Genomic DNA, 24,644 nt, shown 5'->3' with positions numbered 1-24,644 from the left:
AAATTTTGCATGCCAGTGCCCAGAGTGTATTTATTAACAGTTTGAAACTGTCATAAATCTCACTTGGCAGTGATTTTCTTATTAGTTTCAGCATCTCTGCCTTAGCACTGCCAAGCTTGAATGGTCTAGACATTGTCTTCAAAAATAACTCCCTCTGGGACAGGCCTGAAAGTCTCTGGCACAGGATCCCATCTATCTATGGATACTTCTCCTAGGAGATTAGAAGTCTTCCTGGCAGGCAAACATTTTGTCCCTGGAGATCCATCCACTATGGCCAGTATTATGTAAAGGATAAGAGTTCAATGGTTCACATCCATTGAATATAATTCAGTCAACAAAAGAGTGGATTATGCATATATTGCATATATGCAACTCATTTATAACCAAGGAAGAGAGGACCAACAGAAAGTTACAGTTTGGGGAGATTTAAAAATAACTGAACTTATATTGGGGACGTCTTGCTCTTGGAGATAAAAATGGCTCTTATTGCCAGCTGTTGCTCGTTTTTTGGTGGGCGGTATCAAGCATGTGATGCTTTGGTGGCTACACCAGATTCTCTTTTGCAGAACTTGCATGAAGGGTGTGGGTTCCATCCAATCTGTTATCCCCTGTTCCTTCATCCATCCCATTGCCATGCGAGTCTTACTGAGGAGGTGATCTTTACTAGAGGCCACGGATCATTTTTCCATTTCTGCATACATACAAAATTAAAGTTCACCTTGGCCCAGGACCCCTTTGGGGGGGTCACGCCCCCTGCGCCGACGTCCTGGGAGCTAGCGGTGCGCAAGCTCGGCTCACACACACCCCGCCCCGGGGCCTCCTGGGAACTGTAGTAGGCGGCTCGCGAATCCCCGCCGCCATGACAGGACCCGGACTACAGCTCCCGAAAGGCCTCGCGCGTCGCGCCTGCGCCTGCGTCCCTGCGGCCGCCAGAGGGAGGGTTAAGGCGCCTGGGCGCACAGCGAGCCGGCTGAGGGGGCTGTGGCGGCCGCGGCGGGCGACATGGACAACGCGGGGAAGGAGCGTGAGGCAGTACAGCTGATGGCGGAGGCCGAGAAGCGAGTCAAGGCCTCCCACTCCTTCCTCCGAGGGCTGTTTGGGTGAGCGCCAGACCGTGCGTGCCCTGGGGGGGGGGGGTCTCCGTACTTGGCCCCCTTCCTTTCAGGCTGACCCCCCGAGTCCCCCACGCAACCTCTGGGGCCCTCAGACCACGTCTAGGGGCCCTCAGCCTGCAGGCGCCCTCCAGAAATCCTGTAGGGTCCCCCAGCGCCCCCTGGAGCCCCCAGGACGCCCAGGGGCCCTCAGTCCGCACGCGCCCTCCAGAGACCCCACAGGCCCCCCCAGGGTCCCTGGAAACCCCGCATCCTCCCAGGGGCTCTCAGCCCCCACGCGCACTTTAGAGACCCCCTAGGGCCGGCAGAACTCCCCAGGGTTCCTCAGCCCCCACACGCTCTCCGGATCCCCTAACACGCCCCCTTAGAATCCCCAGAGTCTCACAGGGACCCTCAGCCCCCACGCGCCTTTCAGAGAACCCCTAGGACCCCCAGAGCTCCCCAAGCGCCCCACGAAGCCCCTAGAACACTCTGGGGGGGGGGCTGTCAGCCTCACGCGCCCTCTGGAGACCCCAGATCGCCCCCCTCGCCCTGGCCCGGGTTGGTGCGGGGGTCCCACGACCTAGAAGGTCAGCGGCTCCCTGAGGCCCGCGGGCGCGGTAGCTCGGGGCGCGCGTGGGGCCCCCTTCTCAGTGCGTAGCGAGTCGTATTGGTGCATTTCGCCACGCTGAAGCCCGTATCGCTCCTGAGACCGGTCCGGGTGAGGCGCGCCGGGGTGGAGCCGGAGGGGTGGGTGCGGGGGCCGCCCCCGGCGCCTGGAACGCGCACCTGGGGGCGTCCCGCCTGCAGGTGGGCCCCGCCGGGGAGGGGGCGGTCCGGCGAGGGATCCAGAGCTGGTGTGCTTGTTGGCCTCTCTCCAGGGGCCTTGCGCCGAGTACACCTTTAGTAAATACTTGACTAATGAACGAATATATTTTCTCAGCATAGTATTTTTCCTTCTCCGGAGATTGATTGATAGCCAGAGCCTCCTGTTTGATTAACGGTAACGCTGCTGCTGTTTAAGTCAGGCGTCCTTTGGGAATCCCTTTAATTTCCTGTAATTCTTCCGTGCTCTCCTAAGGAGGATTTTAAATTCCAACCTCTCAAAAAGCAGAGCCCGCACTGACAGCCCGGAAGAATTCTGGGCTGTTGAATATGTGAATGATTCAGCTGTTTAGGATGAGAAAGGCAGAAATTTTGTGTGTGCCTGTTTCGTTGTTTTCTTTTGAAAGTGAAAGATCCTTTGCTGTTACCAAGAGCAGATACTTAACCCATTGCATGACTAGACACGATTTTATTTCTGTACACATTCAGTTCAGACTCTATTTCAGAAGACAGACATAATGGGCTCTTAGCTTGTTTTGCCAACTTCATTCTTTTGGCTATAAATTATAATACTTTACCGCTATTGATACGTCTTTAGGAAATGCTTAAGGACAAGTTGCATGCAGTACGCATAACTGCAGAAATGCATAAAGGCTGCAAAAATGCAAGAAGATAAGGGTCCCTGTCCTCAGGAACCTCTCAGAGGACGTTTATCACAGCTGGTTTCTAAATTTCTCATGTGATGTGTAGGAGATATAGCTATGAATTATGTTTTGTTTTGCATTTAAAAGTTATGACAGTACCATCAAGTGCTAGCGCCACACTAACTCCTTTTAAATGTTTTGATTCACAAAACATTTAAAATTCACTCTAATAAAATTTAATGTCATAGTACCTCATGCCAGGAGGTTATTTTAATGTTACAACATTATTTCAAGTCAGGAAGTGCTTCCCTGTGGGAGAGTCTGTAACTGGCAGAGGAAAAAGCTTGACAGCACTTGGTGCTTGTCTCAGGAGAACACTCCTTTTGGGAAAGAGGTTTTCGATGTTTTTAGGAAACTAGGCCAAATCTTGAGCTTATAATCCTTAAAGGATTTTGAAAAGCCTTTGTTTTTAAAGAAACATCTCCCTTTTAAATGTTGCTACCTATGTTATTGACAGGACATATAAGAAGACGAATCTTCACCATTCACACTCAGTTACACAAAAGTTAATGCATCTTAGTTCTTACCTGGGTACAACAGGTTGGTTTATTATCTAGCTTTGGGACCTAGGGCAAGTTACTTAGCCTCTCTGTGCTTCAGTTTCCAGTGTATAAAACGGAGACAATAATAGTATATCTCAAAATTTATGGGAGTTCAGTGAGGTTATGTTTATAAAACATTTGGAACCATGGATGTTGGAGACAGTGACCATGAGATATTAATTAGCATATTCATCAAAATTATCAGCTCCAGTTATTTATCAAAGAAGCAGTAGGCCAAACAGATAACTTTTCCAGAATTTCAGAGCCGTAGACTGCATCATTGATTTTTTTTTTTTGAGACGGAGTCTCACACTGTCACCCGGGCTGGATTGCAGTGGCGGGATGTCAACTAACTGCAACCTCCGCCTCCCAGGTTCAAGCGATTCTCCTGCCTCAGTCTCCTGAGTAGCTGGGATTACAGCCACCCGCCACCACGCCCGGCTAATTTTTTTTTTTTTTTTGTATTTTTAGTAGAGACGGGGTTTCACTGTGTTGGCCAGGCTGGTCTCGAATGCCTGACCTCGTGATCCACCTGCCTTGGCCTCCCAAAGTGCTGGGATTACAGACGTGAGCCAGCACGCCCAGCCTCATTGATCTTTTAATGAAATAAAATATCTGAAAGAGCTTTAACCATTAATGTACCATGCAAGTGTGATTTATACTTTGAAGACTGTTATTTCCAGTAATACTTGCTCCAGGAAAGCTTGCAGGAAGAAGAGTACTTAGAATTTTAGGAGTTTAGTAATATTGTATAATTACTGAAGCCAGAAAACAGACGTAGTGTTCCTGTGTCAGTAGGACAATTAAGATTCTGTATCAATTTTAGATGTTTAGAATCCTACCTTATAGATGGCATGTATCATCACCTTTCTAGACTGGAATACATGTTATTCCACCCTGCCCCTGCCTTCTTAGCTATAGAATGTCACCATTTTCATTCCTAAAGGTCTGCATGTAATCCTTTATTTAAAACGCAGAGTAATCCATCTCTATGTCAGACTCCAGAATTAATGTAATACAAAATTAATAAAACACACATACTGACTTGAATATCATCAGAGCTCATATATTTAAGAGCTGACTAGCTGGTGCTTTAAAGAGGATAAGCCATCTGTTTTCAGGTTGTGGCAGTCATTAAAAGCTGCTTGGCATATTGCAGATATTTCACATCACAGACATTCTGAATGCTCTATCTGCAGATTAAAGCCTGTCATGAGTTCTCTAGTGTTTACCACTCACAGTGGTTTTGTGGCAATACTGTATTCTTAGTAGTATTCTATAGCTTTTGTTTCTTGCTTTCAGTAAAATTAGATGAAAATATGCATATGTATTTATGAGAACATGTCAGTCAAATATTTCTTCTCTGTGTAAGGCACAAATCCTCTGCCTTATCTGCTTGATAGGTAAGGTATCAATATTCCTTTCCCATCCCCACCTTCCTCCCCAGGAAAAGAGCTGACAAGGGATGCAAACATTGCAGGAAACCACTGTTGTGGTGGTTTGTGTTTCTGCTTAATTGCCCGTTAAGCAGTAATGTGCTTTTGTAGTTGTGGAATTAAAACTTTTTCTCAAGTTTGTAGTATAGTACGTTTAGTAAAACTACTTCCAAAGGAGTTGTCTTGTCCTTTAGTTTGTTGCCAGGGATGAGCTATGGAATTTTGTAGTTAATTTCAAATTCCAGTTTATAATGTTAATGAACTACTGGTATGATTTTAAATCGGCCTGAGTCTGACATTAAGATAGTTTTGAATTGGAAAAGCCTCTTATAATACTATCCCCTCCATCTTGTTGCTATGAGACCCGGTTGGGAATAACCTGCACAATGCACATAGAAGAAAGTGCTTAAGACTGACAGTGGAGGCCAGGTGCAGTGGCTCACGCCTGTAATCCCAGCACTCTGGGAGGCCGAGGCGGGTGGATCACTTGAGGTCAGGAGTTTGAGACCAGCCTAGCCAACATGATGAAACCCCGTCTCTACTAAAAATACAAAAATTAGCCTGGCGTGGTGGCGGGCGCCTGTAATACCAGCTACTTGGTAGGCTGAGGCAGGAGAATCACTTGAACCTTGGAGGTGGAGGTTGTAGTGAGCTGAGATTGTGCCACTGCACTCCAGCCTGGGCCCCCGAGCGAGACTCCGTCTCAAAAAAAAAAAAAAAAAAGAATGCCAGTGGAAAGATGTTCTTTATGGTTAATGCTGTCTTCCTTTGCCTTTCAGTGTTTAGTCTGAGTTTACACAAGAGCTACAAATTTGGCAATGTCAATGTAAATTTAATGAAAGGCCCCATTGGGTTATCTTGAAATAATTATGAATCTATAATTTGTTGGTTGTTTGTGAAAATTGTGAATATTTCTTAAGCATTGTAGACTGTAAATTATCAGTATTCTTCACTTGTGTTTATTTCAACAAAGATTGCTTTTAAGTTTGGCCAAAATATGGTGGGGCCATGTGATAACATAGGTGAAGCATTTAGGTTTTCCTCAGTTACAATTCTTGTTCAAATGCAGATTGAACTTTTAAAAAAATTATTAGGCTCAGGTTTACTGACAGAGACAGGTGATACAGTATAAGAAATATATACGTATATTTGTGTATCTTTCTCAAAAGAAATCGATTATAAATTGAACAATTATTTTTATAAATTATATAATATACGTAAGAAATATAATTATATTATTATTCATGGGGAGACCAGGTAGAGGCTCAAGTTCTCTCATTTACTATTTTGGTGACTATAGTCAAGTAAATCATACTCAGAACTTGTTTTTTTTAGTTTTCAGATGGGCAGAGAGACAGAATCTGTTTTTCACGATTGTTAAGGATTGAATGAGGTCAGAATGCTTATTCAGTTGCACAGAGCTATATAACTTTATTATAATTGTTTGGTTTTCTGATTTTAGGTTGTTACAGCTTGGTATCAAATGATAAACTGTTACCAGACTGGCCTTTTTCTTGTTGCATTTTTGCAGTTTTCTCCACATATTCTTTCATTCTTGTGAGCTCTGTGAGGTGCAGTTACTCTGGAGAGAGGGAGGGCCAGTAATCATATGTGGCTCCTTGGAAGTCTGCCTGTTTTGTTGCTGTGGCTAACACCTCACCCAGCCTGAGGCATGCGTTAGGCACGTGGTAAATATTGGTGGAGAGAATGAATGTATTAATGCTAATACAAATGCTGATGTTTTTTCTTTTATTCTTACCTAGTTTTCAAGAGCAAAGCTATACCAAGTAAAGGAGAGTTTAAGTCGCTTTCTTCCGTTTTATTTATGTATTTATTTTTTTGAGACGAGCTCTCACTCTGTTGCCTAGGCTGGAAGGCAGTGGCGAGATATCTGCTCACTTCAACCTTGACCTCCTGAGCTCAAGAGATCCTCCCACCTCAGCCTCCCAAGTAGCTAGGACTACAGGCATGCACTACCATGCCTGACTAATTTTGTATTTTTTGTAGAGACAGGGTCTTGCTATGTTGCCCAGGCTTGTCTCCAACTCCGGGACTCAAGCGATCTGCTCTGCTGACCTCAGCCTCCCAAAGTGCTGCGATTACAGGTGTTAGCCACTGTACTAGGCATTTTATTTAAATATTTGCTTATTATGAACATTGTAGCTGTACACGGTAGAAAAGTACAAGGAGTACAGAGAGTTTTCTTTTTTTTTGAAATGGAGTCTTGCTCTGTTGCCCAGGCTGGAGTGCAGTGGCATGATCTTGGCTCACTGCAACCTCTGCCTCCTGGGTTCAAGTGATTCTGCTGCCTCAGTCTCCTGAGTAGCTTGGATTACAGATGGGTGCCACCACACCCAGCTAATTTTTGTATTTTTAGTAGAGACAGGGTTTCACCATGTTGGCCAGGCTGGTCTTGAACTTCTGACCTCATGATCCGTCCACCTCGGCCTCCCAAAGTGCTGGAATTACAGGCATGAGCCACCGTGCCCAGCGCAGAGAGTTTTCAGTTGAAAAGTAAAGTTCTCTGAGTCTTCTTTTTACGTAATCTCACTCCCAAGAAGCAACCATTTTTAACTTTCTCATTAGTTTTTCTGATGGTTACCACCATATTTCTAAATAATTTTAGAGCACTTCTACTTCCTGATATCTTGATTTTCAGACAGTATCTGTTGATTTTGCTAAAAATGATGAAAAATTTATTATAACTTACATGGTCTTACATTTTCCCCTTTACCTCCTCATTTTACTTAGTTATGTCTCAATCTCTATTACCTTTTATATATAAACAGCATATTTAAATCTTAATTCATGTATGAATTAATGCTGAATAATTAAGCTAATCAAAATATTATACTTAAAATTTTTTTAATATATTTTTCTATTTTTGTGAGTTATGGAGTCAAAGAGAATATATTGTCCAAATTGTGATATTTTTGAGATACTAATAAAATGGGTACAAGTCAAGCATATCTATGCAATGAGGACACAGAATCACCCTAGTTACAGACTTCATATACTCTTCTTAGATTTTCACATTGTGTTTATCTGATTGGTTATAAAATCAGTAAAGCTTTTGTACCTTCAAAGAATTTTCAGTGACTAATAAAGTTCACAGTAAGGAAACTTGGAAGTAGAGTTTCAGAATGTTAACTATTTCTGTATTTAAGTGGAACTTATAAGTAATAACAAAATCTAATAAGTCAATACTTCCTTGAATTAAGGTATATTTTTTCATGGTGAGGACTTGTCTGTCAATTCCAGTTTTAGTCCGTGTATTCATTAGGGATTAGTGTTGTATTTTGAAGGCCTTTTTGAATATCTGCGGAGATAAACATTTTTCTCCTTAAGAGTTATTATATGTTAATTAGTAAATATGAGGCCTCGTATTGTACTGTCCTCGCACTCCTGGAGTAAACCTCTCAGGATTATAATATATTTTTAAATGTAGATTCCATTTTTATTTTTATTTATTTGTTTATTTTTTTGCGACAGGGTCTCACTTTGTTGACCAGGCTGGAGTGCAGTGATGTGCTCATTACTCACTGCAACCTCCGCCTCCCAGGCTTAAGTGATCCTCCCACCTCAGCCTCCTCAGCAGCTGGGATTACAGGCACAGGCCACCATGCCCAGCTAATTTTTGTATTTTTATTAGATATGGGGTTTCACCATATTGGCTAGGCTGGTTTCAAACTCCTGGGCTCAAATGATCTGCCTGGTTGGTCTCCCACAGGGCTGGGATTACAGGCATGAGCCACTGTGCCTGGCCTAGATTCTGTTTTTACATACATGATTTAGGATTGTTTTATCTACAATTCATTTGTATATAGCTTTACTTTATCAGCTTGAAGTATTGCTGTTACAGGTGCCTCCTAAAAATAATGTGGATGTTTTTCTTTTTTTTTTTTTGGACTCTGGTCTTTGAAGATTTAAGAATATACCACAGTGAAACCATTGGGGCTTTTGATGGGTATTTCTTTGATAACTTTCTTGTTTTTGTCTCTGGAGTTTGTAATGTTTAAATTTTCTATCTCTACTGAGGTCAATTTTGGTAAATTGTGTTTTCCTAGGAAATAATTCATTTTATCTAAGTTTTAAAAAATGTATTTGCATTGTGCATAGTAGTCTTTTCTGACTTTTAAAAATGTTCTGTTTTAGTAATTTTCTTCTGTCACTTTATTTTTGTGTTTGTGTTTTTCCCCTTTTTTCCTTGATTCTTTTTCTCTAAACAACCAATATTTTGATTGATTTGTTCTACTGGTTTTGTGTTTTCTGTCTTACTGACTTATACTTTTATCTTTATTGCTTTCTTTGGCTTCTTTTGTTTTTCCCTCTGGTTCATTTTTCTAGGGAGGTGTTTATTCACTGTTTTCATTGCTTTATTTGTATGGATTAAAATATTCATGGCTATACATTTTTTTCTTAAAACTGCTTCAGTTGTATTTTATAGATCCTGTTACATAATGTTTTTATCTTAGTTTGTTTCCCCTTTGTTGCAAGAGGCTTTTATTGTAAGGGTTTTATTCCAGGTAGAAAGAATGGCCTTTCTTTGTATATTATTACTTAAACTTTTTTTTTTTCATTATGATCAGAGAACTTACTGAGATTTTCGTTGCCACTTAATATATTGTTGGTGTTCATGAATGGTCCAGGTACACTTTACTTAAAATTTTTTTTTCGACACGGAATCTTGCTGTGTTTCCCAGGATGGTCTCGAACTCCTGGCCTAAGCAATCCTCCTGCTTTGGCCTCCCAAAGAGTGCTGGGATCATAGGCATGAGCCACCTGCACCCAGCACCCATGTACACTTTATTTTTTTGGAGACAGAGTCTCACGCTGTTGCCCAGGCTGGAGTACAGTGGTGCGGCTCACTGCAACCTCCACCTCCCAGGTTCAAGCGATTCTCCTGCCTCAGCCTCCCCAGTAGCTAGGAATACAGGCACACGCCACCACACCTGGCTAATTTTTGTATATTTAGTAGAGACACGGTTTCACCGTGTTGGCCAGGCTGGTCTCAAACTCCTGACCTCAAACGATCCAATTGCCTTGGCCTCCCAAAGTGCTGGGATTGTAATCTCCCATGTATACTTTAGAAGGTGGATATTTTCTTATCAAATTTTGATAGAGATCCCTCTTGTCTAGTTATTGATTATATTGTCTCTGTCTTTCATGTCTGTATTTTCTGTTCACTTGATCTGTTTTGGGGGGCATATTAATATCTGCTTTCTTATAAGTGTATTTCTATCTTTTTTAACGTTTGCAATTTCTGCTTTATAAAGGGGGCTACTGTGTTTTTGGTACATAGATTTTCACAACTAATATTATTATGAATTATATTTTTAGCATTATGAAGTGAACTTCTTTATTTCATTTAAAGCCTTTGAGCCCAAATTCTACTTTGTTTCATTGCAGGGTAGCAATCTCTGTTTTCTTACTGCTTGTGTTTGCATTCCTTAGGACTGTATTATGTAAGAGGATCATACATGCTGTCTGTTACCTTGTGCCCTCTGCTGCCAGTTGTGGCCATGTGACTGACTTTGACTGATGAAGTATGAGTGGAAGGCACTTCTGCCATGGCTTTTACCCTTCTGTAAGAAATTAAGAAGAGTATATATACCGGATAAGTGCTACATTCCAGAGTAGAGAATGATGACACTTGGAGAAAGAGGCAGCAGTCACAGCCAGTCTGCAGTAAACAAGTCAAGTGACTGAGAGAAGCCTTTGGGAGATGTCAGGGTTATTTGCTGTTATGACAGTTCTAATGAGAGCTGCTTGATTTGTTTGGTATACTTTTGACCATCTCTTTATTTTAAGCCTTTCGGAATAGGTATTTTAGTTGTGTTTCTTGTACTGAGCACAAAGTTGGGTTTTGTTTTTTGAGCAGATCTGAAAATGACGAGTATATGATTGGTTCTTAACTGTCATACTACTATATTTACTGTATATTATATTTTCATTGCTATTTGTCTTCATGTCTCTTTTTTTATTTAGGAAGGTTTGTAATTTTGTTCTACTGGTTACCTTTATGCTATAAATGTTTTTAAATATCCTTAGCTCCTTTTCCTTACTTAGGCGCCTATTATTTTGTTCACTCCAGAAAACTCCTGTTACCTATGTGCTTCTCAGTGAGCACGTTCTACATCTCTTGTTCTCTAATATCCCTTTTTTTTTAAGCTGTTTGTACTTTGTCAGACATAGAAGTGTTTCCCTATTATTTTTCTACCCTTGTCCTTACATTTTGTCTTAGATCTACAATACAACATATGCAGTGACACCACCAGTCATTTCAGCTATGTTTCCTAGTCATCTCTTAGTTATCCCTTGGGTCCTGGCTTACACTGGGGGTTGCATGCTGGATGGCCTGGTTGTATAATCCTTGGCTCACACTTTTTTCCCCCTTGAGTTTCTGGTAAAGCATTGTTCCACTGTTGTTTTGCTCCGTATATTGCTGTTGAAGTCTTAGCCTGATTTTCTTAGTTTTATAAGTAACTTTGAGTTTTTATGTGGAAGCCCAGAAATGTTCTTCATTTATAAAATCTAGTCATCTTACTAGGATATGTTTCACAGTAGACTATTCTGGGTCAGTTTTCCAAGTACATGTAGGCCTGTTCAGTATTTCGATTCATGCCTTTTGTTTCCAGAAAATTTTCTCAGATTGTGAAAATGGGTTTTTTCTTCCCCTCTTTAGGGACTCTCATTACATGGATATTGGCTCTTTGCCCATCCTGTATTACTTTTACTTAGATCCTTTTCTCTTCATTTTTGTTCTCTTGGCTGTTTTCATAGTTTTCCTTATTGTCAGTAGAATCTGCTTTCCCCTTAGGTATGCTATAACAGAGATTTTATTTCTGAGATCATTTTGTCTTTTTATTTCTATCCTTCTAGAATTTGAAACAAGAGTTCATCATCTTATTTTTTTGTGTATTTCCATGATGAGTTTTTAAATTTCTAGCTTATGATGTACTTTCATATCTGTTTAATAATATTTCAGTCATATGGAATTGTTTTCCTGTGCCTTGTGATTGTTTTAGGGAACGTATTTTAATTCTTGTTTCTTTTTTGTTTTGGGGCTTTTTTGGTATGGCTCATTTTTATTTTAATATTTGTTCCTTTTTTACAACTTTTATTTTAGAGTCAGGGGGTACATATGCAGGTTTGTTAACTGGGTATATTGTGTGATACTGAGGTTTAGGGTACAGATGATCCTGTCACCCAGATACTGAGCATAGTACCCAATAGTTTTTCAACTGTTTCTCTCCCCATACCCCGCTAGTGTCCCCAGTGTCTACGGTTGCCATTTTTATGCCCATGGGTATCCAGTGTTTAGCTACCACTTATAAGTGAAAACATGCGGTATTTGGTTTTCTGTTCCTGCATTAATTCACTTAGGATCTTCTTTCTTATGTAGTAGCTTCATATGGATGCTGTTTCTCCTTTCTGTTTAGTGTAGAGAGTCACAGAGTTTCTTGGACACACAATAGCATGTGTTTCTGTGATAGGAGATGAGCGGTTTGTGTGACTTCATGGGTTTCTTAGTTTAAATGCTGCGTTGTGTAGGTACAGTTAAGTGCGGTTTCTTTAATGAATGGTGCTGTGGAGGGGTAGGTTTGTGTGACTTCTAATTCTGTGATACTCTTTTGTTTCAAGAACGTATTTCCATCACTTGCCTTCTTTCCTTTCACTGCCAAACCTCCATAGAGCTGCCCCCACCTTCTAAGTTGCCTTCTCCCAGAAGCAGTGTCTTCTGGAAACTGCAGCCTGTGGCAAAGCCCTTCTATTCAGTTCCCAACTGCAGTGCTCTAACCTGCCAGGTCTTCCACCTGGTCTGGGGTGTTTGCCCACCCTGGTAGGGCACTTCCTTGCTGAGAGTTCTTCCCTGGACAATGATTGCCAGGTTAAACTCCCCTCTCCTGTCGACAGACGCCCCTCTGACTGGCAGCAGAGGCAGTGTTGCTAGCTCTGGTAGTTTTGGATTTTTTATTTCCTAAATTATATTTAATGGAGGCTTGCTGAATACTGCCTCCTTTTGCTGTAGGCACGGATTATGGGTGGTTGTGTATGCTTTTTGTTGATCTATAAGGTTTTTGGAGGATGTGTGGATATATTTATCTAAGCAGCCACCATGATTTTTTGGGAATCACATGTCTCATCAGTATTTTCTGAAGACTGAAATTCAGCTTAAATTTTTATAAAGACTGAAATTCAATTTAAAAACTGCTCTTGGTAAATCAGGTTGTATGTAACAGTCATTTCTGAATTAATCTAGCAGTTACCATTATCTTTCTTAAGTATTTAAATATGTTTGTTTTGTTTTATAAATAGGTCCAGTGTATACCTATTTCTTCTCTATAAAGATGACTACTCCCCATATAAAGTTGAGGCATTAGAAAACTATTGTCAAAATAAAGTCTAACTAGTTTTCTTTGTTATACTTGTTCTCATAAGCTTTATTTCAGGAAATTGTGCTTAAACACAAATACTTTGGTCACAGGCCTTAAATGTCTCTGATTATTTTCTCTGTTTGAGAATCTATGATTTTTGTCCTTAATTAAGCAGAAGTAAACTGAAAAGTTCTTAGAAAATTGATTCCAAAAGCTCAAGGCCACTGAGACAGCGCTCCCCTTACTGGTACAGTGCTAGCTGGCTTGGTGGAATTTTTCTTTCTCTCCAAGGCCAAGACAGGCCTGGCTGCTCCAGGGAACTGGAGGCTGGTAAATAAATGATACTGTTCATTTGTAGGTGGTCTGACTCAAGCCCATGCCCTGGGCCTTTCCACCATACCTTGGGCTTCTGCATTACCGATTTATAAAAGAACAGTGAAACATTTAAATGCTGCCTTTTGCTGTAAGAATTCAAATTAGCATTCTGGAGAGTATCTCCCTCCTACCTTTTTAAAAAAATAGTTTTTAATTGACACATTGTATTGCATATATTGATGGGGTACAGTTTGATTTTTTGATATACGTCTGTGTTGTATAATGATCAAATCAGGATAGTTAGCATACTCATCACCTCATACATTTATCATTTCTTTGTGTTGAGAACATGTAAAAATATCTCTTCCAGTTGTTTTGTGTCCTTCTGGGGCCTCTGCATCTCCTCCACGGAAGAAATCTCTACTTTTGCATCACATAAAAGATTTGTACTGTTTTAAAATATATTAAGCACTGAAATAAAGTAATCTTGGAAGGGTTAAGTTTACCTAGGAAAGCCCCAAGTTTTTAGAATCTGTGGAGTTTCCAGAAGTGAAGCATCAGGTGGAAATAAATTGTTTATAGAGCCTATAATATCACAGAGTAGTTGTGTATGGCAGAGGCACGTTCAGACAGATTTTGAATTTTCCTCTCTTCTGGATTCTTTCTACATTTGCTTATTATTTTGAGGCATACATGGGAAACCTTAAAAAATGAATGTGGACAGTTTGTTCCATCCAGACACTAAGCATCAGCCTTGTTATTGTGGCCTGTGTGCTAGGCCCTGTGCTGCTTCCTCTTCCCCAGAGCATCAGTCTAGTGGCTAAGGAGATACTGCTGGTAAATAATGAGAAGAAGGAGGTACCATGCTTTGTGGGGATCCCCCCAGGCTCCCCACACTGGGCAAGTCCCTTTTCAGTCTTTTGGGGTGGCTTGACACACCCCTTCATGGCATCCTGATGTTAGAGCTGAATTTTGCCTCTGGTTCTACATGCTTATCTTCATAGTACTGTCACTGTCACTTTTTGTGGTATTTCTACTCTAATATCTTGTGATTTTAGAGGCAACTTTATTTCTATCTCAGGAGTTGTCAGCCTTTTTCTTTGAGGTACATCTCATGATGTGTGTGTCATTAGTTCTCACAATTCTACGATGTCTCCTTCCTCCCACCCACAGTTTTAAAATAGTACGGACTATAGTTGTCATAGTTTTACAATGCTCTGCAATAGTTATTATTCAGGATGGGGGAAATCAAGATTTTAGATTATTTGAAGATGAATTGGTTTTCACAGCTCTGCTGTTCACTGGCTCCTGGTGGGACATTTGTGGCTTTGACAATGTTTCCTCAGGGGAACATGGGGAATTGATAGGCTTTTTCTCAGACCCTTCTGGCCGTGAAGCTTGATATTCTTTCCTCAGTGTCGTGACCTCCTTGTGGGCAAGAAGTTTATTTCCTTAGTGTTTTCTGGCACATATGGATCTCAGTAAATATTTCCTGAATAAGTACGGTCAAGAAGAAGAGAGTCTGCCTTGCCTCTGGAATGCAAGGGTGGTTCACCTGGGCCAGCCAGGTGGCAGTGGTTTTTGTGCTAGCTGGGCAGTGTTTTCTTTCACGGTGGGGAAAATGTTTTCTTCTTCCAAGTCAGATTCCTGTAATACAAAAAAATAGTTAATTTAGCTCAGTTTAGCTTCTTAATGTCAATTGAGTGCTAAGTGTTTAACTTATGTTGCTGCGTAATATGGATTCCCCACAGAATATTTTTTCCAAGGATCTTCTGCCTCACTGTGAGACCTCTGGATAACAGTTGTTACTTTGAATGCAAATTCTGAATACTTGTCCATAAAATTTACAAAAAATTAACTTTCACATAAAACAAAATAAGCATCCGGTGTAATTTCAAAAGTACCTTTTTTCAGGAAGTTTTAAAGTTATGGTCAGTTTATGACAAATGGGTTTTTAAAGTGAGGCTACCTCTGGCAATTCTGTTTCAGGAGACATGAGGATCTCATGGTTTAGCAAAGTTCAAAGGTCACTGAACTTGAAGTCAAGTGTCAGGTACACTACTGACCTTGGCTGGGTAGCCTTGGATAAGCCATTGTCCTCTAGATGCCATTTTCTCTTCAGTAAAATAGAGATAGTGTCTTTCATGGTTGTAATAATGAAAATGACATAACATATATGGAAATATCTAGCATAAAACCTGGAATAATGTAGGAACTCTGTTAATTCTAGCTGTATCCTGTCTCTGAAAATAAGTGGATAAAGTACATTTTAATTAAGCTAGTTTTATTTAGAAACCTTTAATAAGAATGATTGAACTATAATTACAGTTCAAGATTCCCAGTACTCTTTAGAAAAACAAGACCCAAGAAAGTAGCAAGACTTTACGCCAAGGGAGGTATGGCTAAGGTTGAGAATGTTTTCATGTGAGGAATTTTCCATTTAGGAAACTTATTAGCTGTTTTTCTTTTTTTTTAATGTGTAGATTTGAAGTGGAGGGAAAGGGACATGAAGGTGTGAGAGAAAGCTGTAGCTTATTCTGACACTTCATTTTTGGTATGGCTTGTTGCCATTCTATCTTTCACTGTGTAACATAGTCCCCAAAGGTTTTTGTTTGTTTTTTTGATTTTTTTTGTGTGTGTTGGGGAGGAGGTTTTATTGAGATTTAATACACATACCGTACAATTCACTGATTTAAAATGTACAATTCAGAGGTTTTTAGCCTATTCACAGGGCTATGCAACCACAGCAGTTTTAGAACATCTTCATCACCCCAGAAAGAAACCCTGTACCATTTAGCTGTCATTTTCCCTCACCTCCCTGCTTTTCCCCAACACTCCCACCTCTAGATGTCTTTGCCTGCTTTGCGCTGCTGTAACACAATAACCTTAGCCTGGGTAATGTATAAGAACAGAAATGTATTTCTCACAGTTTTTGGGGGCTGGAAAGTCTGAGATCAAGGCACCAGCGTCTGGTATCTGGTGAGGGCCTTCTTGCTTTGTCTTCACATGGTAGAAGAGAACCAGAGAAAATGGAACCTCCCTTTCACAAGCTCTTTTATTAGTGGCCTTAATACATTCATGAGAGCAGAGGGCTCATGACCTAAACACCTCCCAGTAGGCCCTACCTCCCAACACTGTTGCATTGGGGATTAAATTTTAATTTAGTTTTGGAGGGGACAAAAACATTCAAACCATAGCACTACCAACCACTAACCTGTTTTCTGTCTCTAAAAATTTGCCTACTGTAGACCTGTCATATAAATGGAATCTCACTGTGACTGCTCATATTGCGCATTAATATTCCATTGTATGTGTATACCACATATTATTTATCTGTTAATCGGTTGATGGACTTTTGGGTTGTTTCCACTCCTTAGCTTTTTTTTTGTTTTGAGACGGAGTCTCTGTGTCACCCAGGCTGAAGTGCAGTGACACTATCTCGGCTCAGTGCATCCTCCGCCTCCCAGGTTCAAGTGATTCTCCTGCCTCAGCCTCCTGTGTAGCTGGGACTGCAGGCACCCGCCACCATGCCCAGCTAATTTTTGTATTTTTACTAGAGATGGAGGTTTCACCAAGTTGGCCAGGCTGGTCTCAAACTCCTGGCCCTGAAGTGATCCACCCACCTCAGCCTCCCAAAGCGCTGGGATTACAGGCGTGAGCCACTGTGCCTGGCCACTTTTTAGCTATTATGATTAATGCTGCTGTGAACAGTTGCATACAAGTTTTTGTGTGGATATGCGTTTTCTCTCTTTCTTTATCTCTCTCTTTCATTCTCTTTCTTTCTTTCTCTCTCTCTCTCTTTCTCTGTCTCTCTCTCTTTCTTTCTTTTCTTCTTGACAAAGTCTCGCTCTGTCACCTAGACTGGTGGGCTGGAGTGCAGTGGTGTGATCTCGGATTACTGTAACCTCAGTCCCTCAAGTAGCTGGGACTACAGGCATGTGCCACCACACTGGCTAATTGTTTTTGTATTTTTAGTGGAGATGGGGTTTCGCCATGTTGTCCAGGCTGGTCTTGAACTCCTGACCTCAGGTGATCCTCCAGCCTCGGCCTCCCAAAGTGCTGGGATTACAGGCGTGAGCCTCCTCGCCCCGCCGGGATGTGTTTTAATTTCTCTTGGGTGTGTACCTAGGAATGGAATTGCTGGGTTATATGGTAACATTTTCCAAAGTGGCTGCACCCTTTTATATTCCTCCCAGTCGTATATAAGGTTTCTCCACATATATAAGGTTTCTCCACGTCTTCCCTGACTCTTGTTATTTTTTGTCTTTTGACAGACAGTAGCCCATCCTAGCCATCCTAGCAGGAGCCATGTGGTATCACATGTGTGGTTTCGATTTGCATTTATTCTAGATACATGTTCCTCATGAGACATACAATGTAATATTCCCAAAGGTTTTTATGCCTTCCATACATGGATCTAGATATGATAACCATTCTGATTGAGTACCTGCTCTGGGTGAAGCTCTGCAGTGGCAGCTGTATGTGGATTATTTCTTTTGATCCTCATAATAACTCCTAGGTATACATTATCTTCAGTTTACGCATGCCAAAACTGAGGTGTGAAGGAGTTAAAGAACTGGTCCAGGGCCATACTGTTAGTAGTTATTGCCTAAGGTCTGAGTCACACCTGAGCCTTGCTGTATGCCCAGCCTCTGCTCTGCACTAGGACTTGTGTTGACAGGGAGCTGCAAGCTCCTCTGCTGGAGCTTGGAGTTTAATGGAGTTCCTAACACGTGTGTGCACTCTTTCATGTACATGTGTTCATACCAGGCCCAGCATCCAGTGTCAGCCTTGACCTGTCCTGTCTCTGAGTCCTTATGTCCATACCCCACCGAGTTCCTTGTTATGTATACTGTACAGAGTCTGCTGCATCTCAGTTTTCCACTGTTTATTTTATGATTATAAATAGACAAGATAGATAAACGTCTTTCATGGAGGGGCCTTAGCATAGTAAAAGCAAAGTTAACTCTGGGAGGATTACGGAGGATAATTTTGGCTTTTATGTGAGAAGAAATTTCCAAGTAGCTTAAAGCTGTCCCTCAGTGGAATCAGCTGCTTGGTAAAGAACTTTGCAGAACTGTATATGTCCAAGCAACAGTGGAGGTACCCTTCTCTCAGGGTGTTGTAAAATGCATTTCTCAGGGTGTTGCAAAATGCATTTCTAAACTGGGCCGGACCCTGAGGCTTCCTCCAGGTTGGAGAAGGACTTGCCCTTACCAGAGTTGACATCATACAGCTGTAGAATGTCGTGCCACTTTCTCATAAGACGTGGCTTCTGAATAAACATAGTGCTGAACTCTTGGGAGATAACAGGGTAAAGATGTCTTTATCCTTCAAAATTTAATCTCCTTTGAAAAACGTACTTTTAACTACTCAGACTGATATAAAACTTCCAGCTTTTATAGATGGGAAGGACTCTGATTAAAGATGTAATCAGAATAACATCTTCAGTTTGTAACACCTCTGGTTCTGGGGTCAGCCAGATCTGTGTTTGAGTCTTTTTTTTTTTTGAGACATAGTTTTGCTCTTGTTGCCCAGGCTGGAGTGCAATGGCACGATCTCAGCTCACTACAACCTCTGCCTCCCAGGTTCAAGCAATTCTCCTACCTCAGCCTCCTGAGTAGCTGGTACTACAGGCACATGCCACCACACCCAGCTAATTTTTGTATTTTCAGTAGGGATGGGGTTTCACCATGTTGGCCAGGCTGGTCTCGAACACCTGACCTCAGGTGATCCGCCCGCCTTGGCCTCCCAAAGTTCTGGGATTACAGGCATGAGCCATCATGCCCTGCCCTGTGTTTGAGTCTTAATTCTGAGCTATCCTTTCTGTGTCACCTCGGGCTAGTTACTTTACCACTTAACACCCCAGTTTCCTCATCTGGAAAACAGGTATAGTAAGAGTATCTCCTTTAAATAGAGGTTAAGATTCTGTAATGCTTGTCTGGCACATAGCAAGTATATACTAAATGTTAATCATTTGAGGGAGGGAGAATTAGAGATGTGGATGGTTGTTAAAAATCTAATTTTTAACTTTTTCTCAGAGGAAACACAAGAATAGAAGAGGCTTGTGAAATGTATACCAGAGCTGCAAATATGTTCAAGATGGCTAAAAATTGGAGTGGTATGTACAAAGTTTTTGTTTGCTTTTTAGGCAAATGGTTTAAAATCACTTTGAAGGGAGAAATGACTGTTTTCCCCTTGAAGAGCAAGACTATTGGCCCCAGAGACAGATGTCAGTGCTGAATAACTGATGTGGCTGCTACTGACATATGGAGACTAAAGGGGTGTGCTCTAAGTGAATGAAGCTGGAAAGCCTGGCTTAAGTTTAAGCACAGGGACAGTGTCTGTCTTAGTTTCTATAAACTTCTTAATACAGTAGGCATGTGGTAACTTAAAATAGTTAAAATTACTTGGAATTAGAGTAATCTTTGCTTCTTACTAATATGTTCAAATAAACACAGTGCCATAAGGAATGAAAGTTGGAATAAAAGTCATTAAAACTAGTGGGATAAAGAGAATTTTCTTTACCTGAACATTGGTTGAGAATGACCATTCCCTGCTACGCAATAACTGATTGTGATTCCACTGAGAACTGAAAGTGGGGTTTGGGGGGAGGGGGATGGATTTACATTAACCTCAATAGACTCTTGGTTATTTTTTAAAGTAATGCTTTCTACCCAGTGAGACCGGGCATAACAAAATTCACAGGATTATTATTTTCATTGGTCTGAGATGGGATGGCTCTTTGAGAGAAATTCATCCCTCTCCCTTCAGCGAAAGAGATCTTTCATGCCTTAGTGATGGGATATTTCTGTAGTGAAAATGGAGACCACCGTTGACCAGAGCAGGGGACGTGGGTGTTGTGCTCTGGCTCACAGCTGCTGTGGGATTGGAAGTGGGACTCGCCCTCTACAAGCTGTTTCAAGGCAGACACTTTAAAATCATTTCAAAGGAGAAAATGCTTTTGAGCTAGATGATTCTAAAAGGTCTCTTCTGGCTTTAAAGATCTTTGTAAGAAGTTTAGTTTTAGCTAAGGCTTTAGATATGCTATTTTTCAAAACACACCTACGCCTGAATTATATTGTATTTTTAAAATGGTGGAGAAAACAGTTTGTTTCACATTCCCTCTTTTATTTTGTTCAGGTCTTATAAGTAAAAAGTGATCTTACCTGAAGAGATCACTTACTTACTTATTTATTTACTTACTTAATTTGTTTATTTATTTATTTATTCGAGACAGAGTCTCACTCTGCAGCCCAAGCTAGAGTGCAGTGGTACAATCTTGACTGACTGCAATCTCTGCCTCTGGGGCTCAAGCGATTCTTATGCCTCAGCCTCCCTCGTAGCTGGGACTACAGGCACGCGCCACCACGCCCAGCTAATTGTTTGTATTTTAGTAGAGACGGGGTTTCACCATGTTGCCCAGGGTGGTCTGGAACTCCTGAGCTCAGGCGATCCACCCACCTCGGCCTCCCAAAGTGCTGGGATTATAGGCATGAACCACTGTGCCCGGCTGAGACCACTTATTACTTATTGTATCTGGTGATGAGGTATTCTAACCTTTGGAAATTCCATTTCAGAGAGGCCACTGATCATGTATGTAACTAAGGAGGCTTTGTATGTGCACCCCGCGTCATCTGTTGCCTGGGGTGATGCTCTAGCCTCCTGACATTGTCATACTGCTGCACTTTTCCAGTCTGTTTCCATTTATGTCTGAGGTTGCAATTTTTTGAATTTTGGAAATCAGACCTTGGCGATGACCTTGAGCAGTAGGATAGGATATAAATAACTCCCACGTGCCTAGCGTTCCAGTGAAGGAACACTAGGCATAAATGTGTTAATGAAGTAACGTAACACAAGTTAAGTAAGGTCATATCATTCCAAATAAGAGCTGACGTCTCTGTAGTGGCCCTCAAAGACTATCCCCTTCCTTGTGCACCCAGCTCCCACTTCAGAGCCTTTGCATGTACTGTTCCCTCTGTCTCCCTACTCTTTCCCCAAACAGAATGTTGCTGGGTCCCTGCTTCCTTCAGCTCCCTCTTCACATGTCAACTTATTGGTGAGGTCTTCTCTGGCCACCCCTTTTAAAAATAACAATCTTGTCCTTCCTGGAAACTTTTTTTTTTTTCTTTCTCCAACACTGTTATCACCATCTAGCAAAAATAAATTACATAATGTTTTATTCATTTATATTTACATGTTTTTATTATATGGTGATTCTCATTAGAAAGTAAACCTTGGAAGGCCATGTTTGTGTGTTTTTATCTCTGCTGTATCTCCAGGCCCTGGATTATTACCTGCAAAGTCATAGGTGCTCAGTATATTTGTTGAGTGGATGAATATTAGACTCCTTGAAGTTCTATCCATGTTGCATTGGTGATGATCATAACAGCATTGCATCTCTTTATAGTTTTAAAAGTTCTTTCATAATGACTAAGCTAATTTGTTTGATACTCAGCTTTTGAGAGATCATCCTCACAGGTATTATACCAGTTTTGCGGGTGAGGAAATTTAGCCTAAGTTGTGTGGCTTCCCAGAGACCATTTAATTTAATATATGATCCTTTAAAGACAGTTCCAAGTTCCCCCTCCACCTCCGAGAATGGAGTCTTGCTCTGTTGTCCAGGCTAGAATGCAGTGGTGCGATCTCAGCTCACTGCAACCTCCGCCTCCCGAGTTTAAGCGATTCTCCTGCCTCAGCCTCCGGAGTAGCTGGGATTACAGGCATGTGCCACCACGCCCAGCTAATTTTGTATTTTTAGTAGAGATGGGGTTTCTCCATGTTGGCCAGGCTGGTCTTGAACTCCTGACCACGAGGAGTGCCTGATCCACCCTAAGTGCTGGGATTACAGGCATGAGCCACTGTGCCCGGCCCAACACTTCCAAGTTTAGATAGACCGAGCTAGCATTTGCTGTCAGTGATTGGAATGAATAGTCAGAGTGAAAAAGTAAGCCAGCAACTCGTTTTGGAATGTGGGAATGTGAAAATGTAAAATTAAAGCGCTTACTGTTGTCTGGAGAAATGGAGGTAGCCCAGAAGAGCCTGGGTGTTGTGGTATTACTGAGCAAGAAAAGGATGGCCCATGACTGATTCTGAGACAGGAAACATAGATAAGTTATCAAAAATGAAATGCCAGCAGGAGAGCAAGGATGTAGATTGTAAAAAAAAGATGGCATTTCAATATGCCAAACCACAGATATGATCTAAGGCTAGATTTGCATGTAATAATGAAAGTGGCCACCGTGTGTAATGTGAGTCAGGCCCTTCTAAGCACTTTACTTGCGAAGTCCAAGCTATTACTACGTTCTTCTGAGGCAGAGCCCATTAAAGCTCCCACTTAGCCAGATATGTTCCTGAGTTGCCACTTCATGGTTAAGTGCTGCCCCAAGTACCCCAGGTGCCTGGCCACTGTCCTGGCAGTGGCCTTTGCCCCTTCTGGATACCCACCAGCCTCTCATGATTCACAAGGGGCCAGCAGGGCTTCTTCAGTTCCAGCTCTAGCCCTGAGGCTGGCATGTACTCTGATTGTTCAGTGCCTTGGTTTCTTCCTGCGGCTATAACAAAATACCTTAGTGTAATTTATAAAGAAAATGAACGTATTGTTCAGAGTTCTGGAGGCTGGGTCGTTTAAGATCAAGGTGCCAGCAGATCCCGTATTTGGTGAGGACTGTTCTCACCTTCCACGATGGCGCCTTCTTGCTATGTCCTCACGTGGTGGAAGGAACAAGGCAGTTCTCTTCAACCTCTTTTATAAGGGCACTCATCCCATTTATGAGGGTGGTGCTCTCATGACTTTATCACTCCCCCAAAGGCCCCACCTCTTAATACTGTCAAATTGGATATCAGGCTCCAGTAATACAAATTTTGGGGGGATACTGCCATTCAGATCATAGCACTACCCATGTCATGCTGGTGGTTACATATTTTTCAAAGATGCCTGGGTACTCTTTTTAATCAGAAACTGTGGTACAGAGCAAGAATTGAACCTGGGCAGGTGGGCTCCAGAGTTTGTACTGTCCCTTTGCCCTCAGGTTCAGAAACCCACATGAGAACTGTGCATTTCCTCTGGGGAGAGGGAGTTGGAACAAGAGATGCAGCTGAAGCTTTAGCAGAATTGGATGTTTACGGCCAGGTATAATCATCTGTAATCCCAGCACTTTGGGAGGCCGAGGCTGGAGGATTGCTTGAGCCCAGAAGTTCAAAACCAGCCTGGGCAACATAGCACCTGTCTCTACAAAAAAAAAAAAAAAAAAAAAAAATTTTTTTTTTGAGACAAGAGTCTTGCTCTGTCACCCAGGCTGGAGTGCAGTGACACAGTCTCGGCTCACTGCAACCTCCGCCTCCCGGATTCAAGCAATTGTCCTACCTCAGCCTCCCAAGTAGCTGGGATTATAGGCACCTGCCACAATGCCCAGCTAATTTTTTGTATTTTTAGTAGAGACAGGGTTTCGCTATGTTCAGGCCAGGCTGGTCTCGAACTCCTGACCTCAGGTAATCCACCTGCCTTGGCCTCCCAAAGTGCTGGGATTATAGGCTTGAGCCACCAAACCCAGCCAAAAAAATTTTTTAAAGAATTAAAAATAAAAAATAGCCAGGTGTGGTGGCACATGCAGCTACTCAGGAGGCTGAGGCAGGAGGATCTCTTGATCCTGGGAGGTGGAGGTTGCAGTGAGCTGTGATCACGCCACTGCACTGCAGCCTGGGTGACAGATTGAGACCCTGTCTTGAAAAAAAGAAAAGAATTGGATTTTTTTTCCTCACAAAAAAAATTTATAGCAAATGTTTAATATCAGCAGTGAGTACTGCTTTATGATAATTTTTTTAGAAACCTAAAGGCTTTGTGATATTCTTAACCATGCTTTTCCTGGTAGATCAGATTCTTTCCTCTCCATTTCTGCTGTACTGACTTCCCCAATGTGACTCATTTTTCAGAGGCACTCTGCTGTGTTGCTTTCTCTGAACTCAGGAAGTTTCGCATGTTGATGTTTAAACCCTCTGGGAAGTGGCCTGATGCAGCCTCAGCCTTGATTTCCACTGGCCTCCTCCAGTCAGGGCAGGCTTGTCACTGGCCTCCACTTCCAGCCCTTTCTTACCTTCAAGCATTTCTTCTGTGTTCCTGTGACTCCTCTGCTAGCGATTCCTTCCCTCTTTCTTTTCCAGCACTCCAGAATCCATGGTCCCTGATCCAAAACCTTTTCTGAAAAAGATTAGTTCATGTACCTTATATGTTGTACTGTGTCCCAGTTGGAGACCTGGGTGGTACCCCACAACCAGATCCATCAGTGATTCTGCAGGGAAATTTGTAAATTCTCACACTAAATGGGGTAAAATAGATTAAACCTCATATAAATTT

At 41.8% G+C, this 24,644-nt stretch overlaps 1 protein-coding gene across 7 annotated transcripts in view, besides 5 other annotated features; it reads left to right on the top strand.

Moving 5' to 3' along the window:
- Nucleotides 539-728: an enhancer, noted in NCBI's record as "active region_17640". NCBI's record gives its function as "activates an Ori minimal core promoter by ATAC-STARR-seq in GM12878 lymphoblastoid cells {active_cell/tissue: GM12878}" and the evidence as "EXISTENCE:reporter gene assay evidence [ECO:0000049][PMID:35858748]".
- The window catches only part of NAPB (NSF attachment protein beta), a 46,967-nt gene continuing 23,239 nt past the window's right edge, over nucleotides 917-24,644 (top strand). For all 7 annotated transcript variants that reach the window (NR_104266.2, NM_001283020.2, NM_001283026.2 and 4 more), the window contains exons 1-2: nucleotides 917-1,100; nucleotides 19,333-19,412. Coding sequence is in view for 5 of the 7 variants with exons in the window: in NM_001283020.2 (NP_001269949.1) it covers nucleotides 1,003-1,100; nucleotides 19,333-19,412 (178 nt within the window). In the remaining 2 variants the exon portion in view is untranslated. The remainder of the gene's footprint in view (nucleotides 1,101-19,332; nucleotides 19,413-24,644) is intronic.
- Nucleotides 979-1,068: a silencer, noted in NCBI's record as "silent region_12730". NCBI's record gives its function as "represses an Ori minimal core promoter by ATAC-STARR-seq in GM12878 lymphoblastoid cells {active_cell/tissue: GM12878}" and the evidence as "EXISTENCE:reporter gene assay evidence [ECO:0000049][PMID:35858748]".
- Nucleotides 1,699-1,928: a silencer, noted in NCBI's record as "silent region_12729". NCBI's record gives its function as "represses an Ori minimal core promoter by ATAC-STARR-seq in GM12878 lymphoblastoid cells {active_cell/tissue: GM12878}" and the evidence as "EXISTENCE:reporter gene assay evidence [ECO:0000049][PMID:35858748]".
- Nucleotides 13,998-14,057: an enhancer, noted in NCBI's record as "active region_17639". NCBI's record gives its function as "activates an Ori minimal core promoter by ATAC-STARR-seq in GM12878 lymphoblastoid cells {active_cell/tissue: GM12878}" and the evidence as "EXISTENCE:reporter gene assay evidence [ECO:0000049][PMID:35858748]".
- Nucleotides 14,198-14,257: an enhancer, noted in NCBI's record as "active region_17638". NCBI's record gives its function as "activates an Ori minimal core promoter by ATAC-STARR-seq in GM12878 lymphoblastoid cells {active_cell/tissue: GM12878}" and the evidence as "EXISTENCE:reporter gene assay evidence [ECO:0000049][PMID:35858748]".

The sequence above is a fragment of the Homo sapiens genome, chromosome 20, assembly GCF_000001405.40.
Source record: "Homo sapiens chromosome 20, GRCh38.p14 Primary Assembly".
Lineage (NCBI taxonomy): Eukaryota > Metazoa > Chordata > Mammalia > Primates > Hominidae > Homo > Homo sapiens.
Note: the sequence above shows the minus strand (reverse complement) of the source record. Positions and strands in the feature narration are given on the sequence as shown.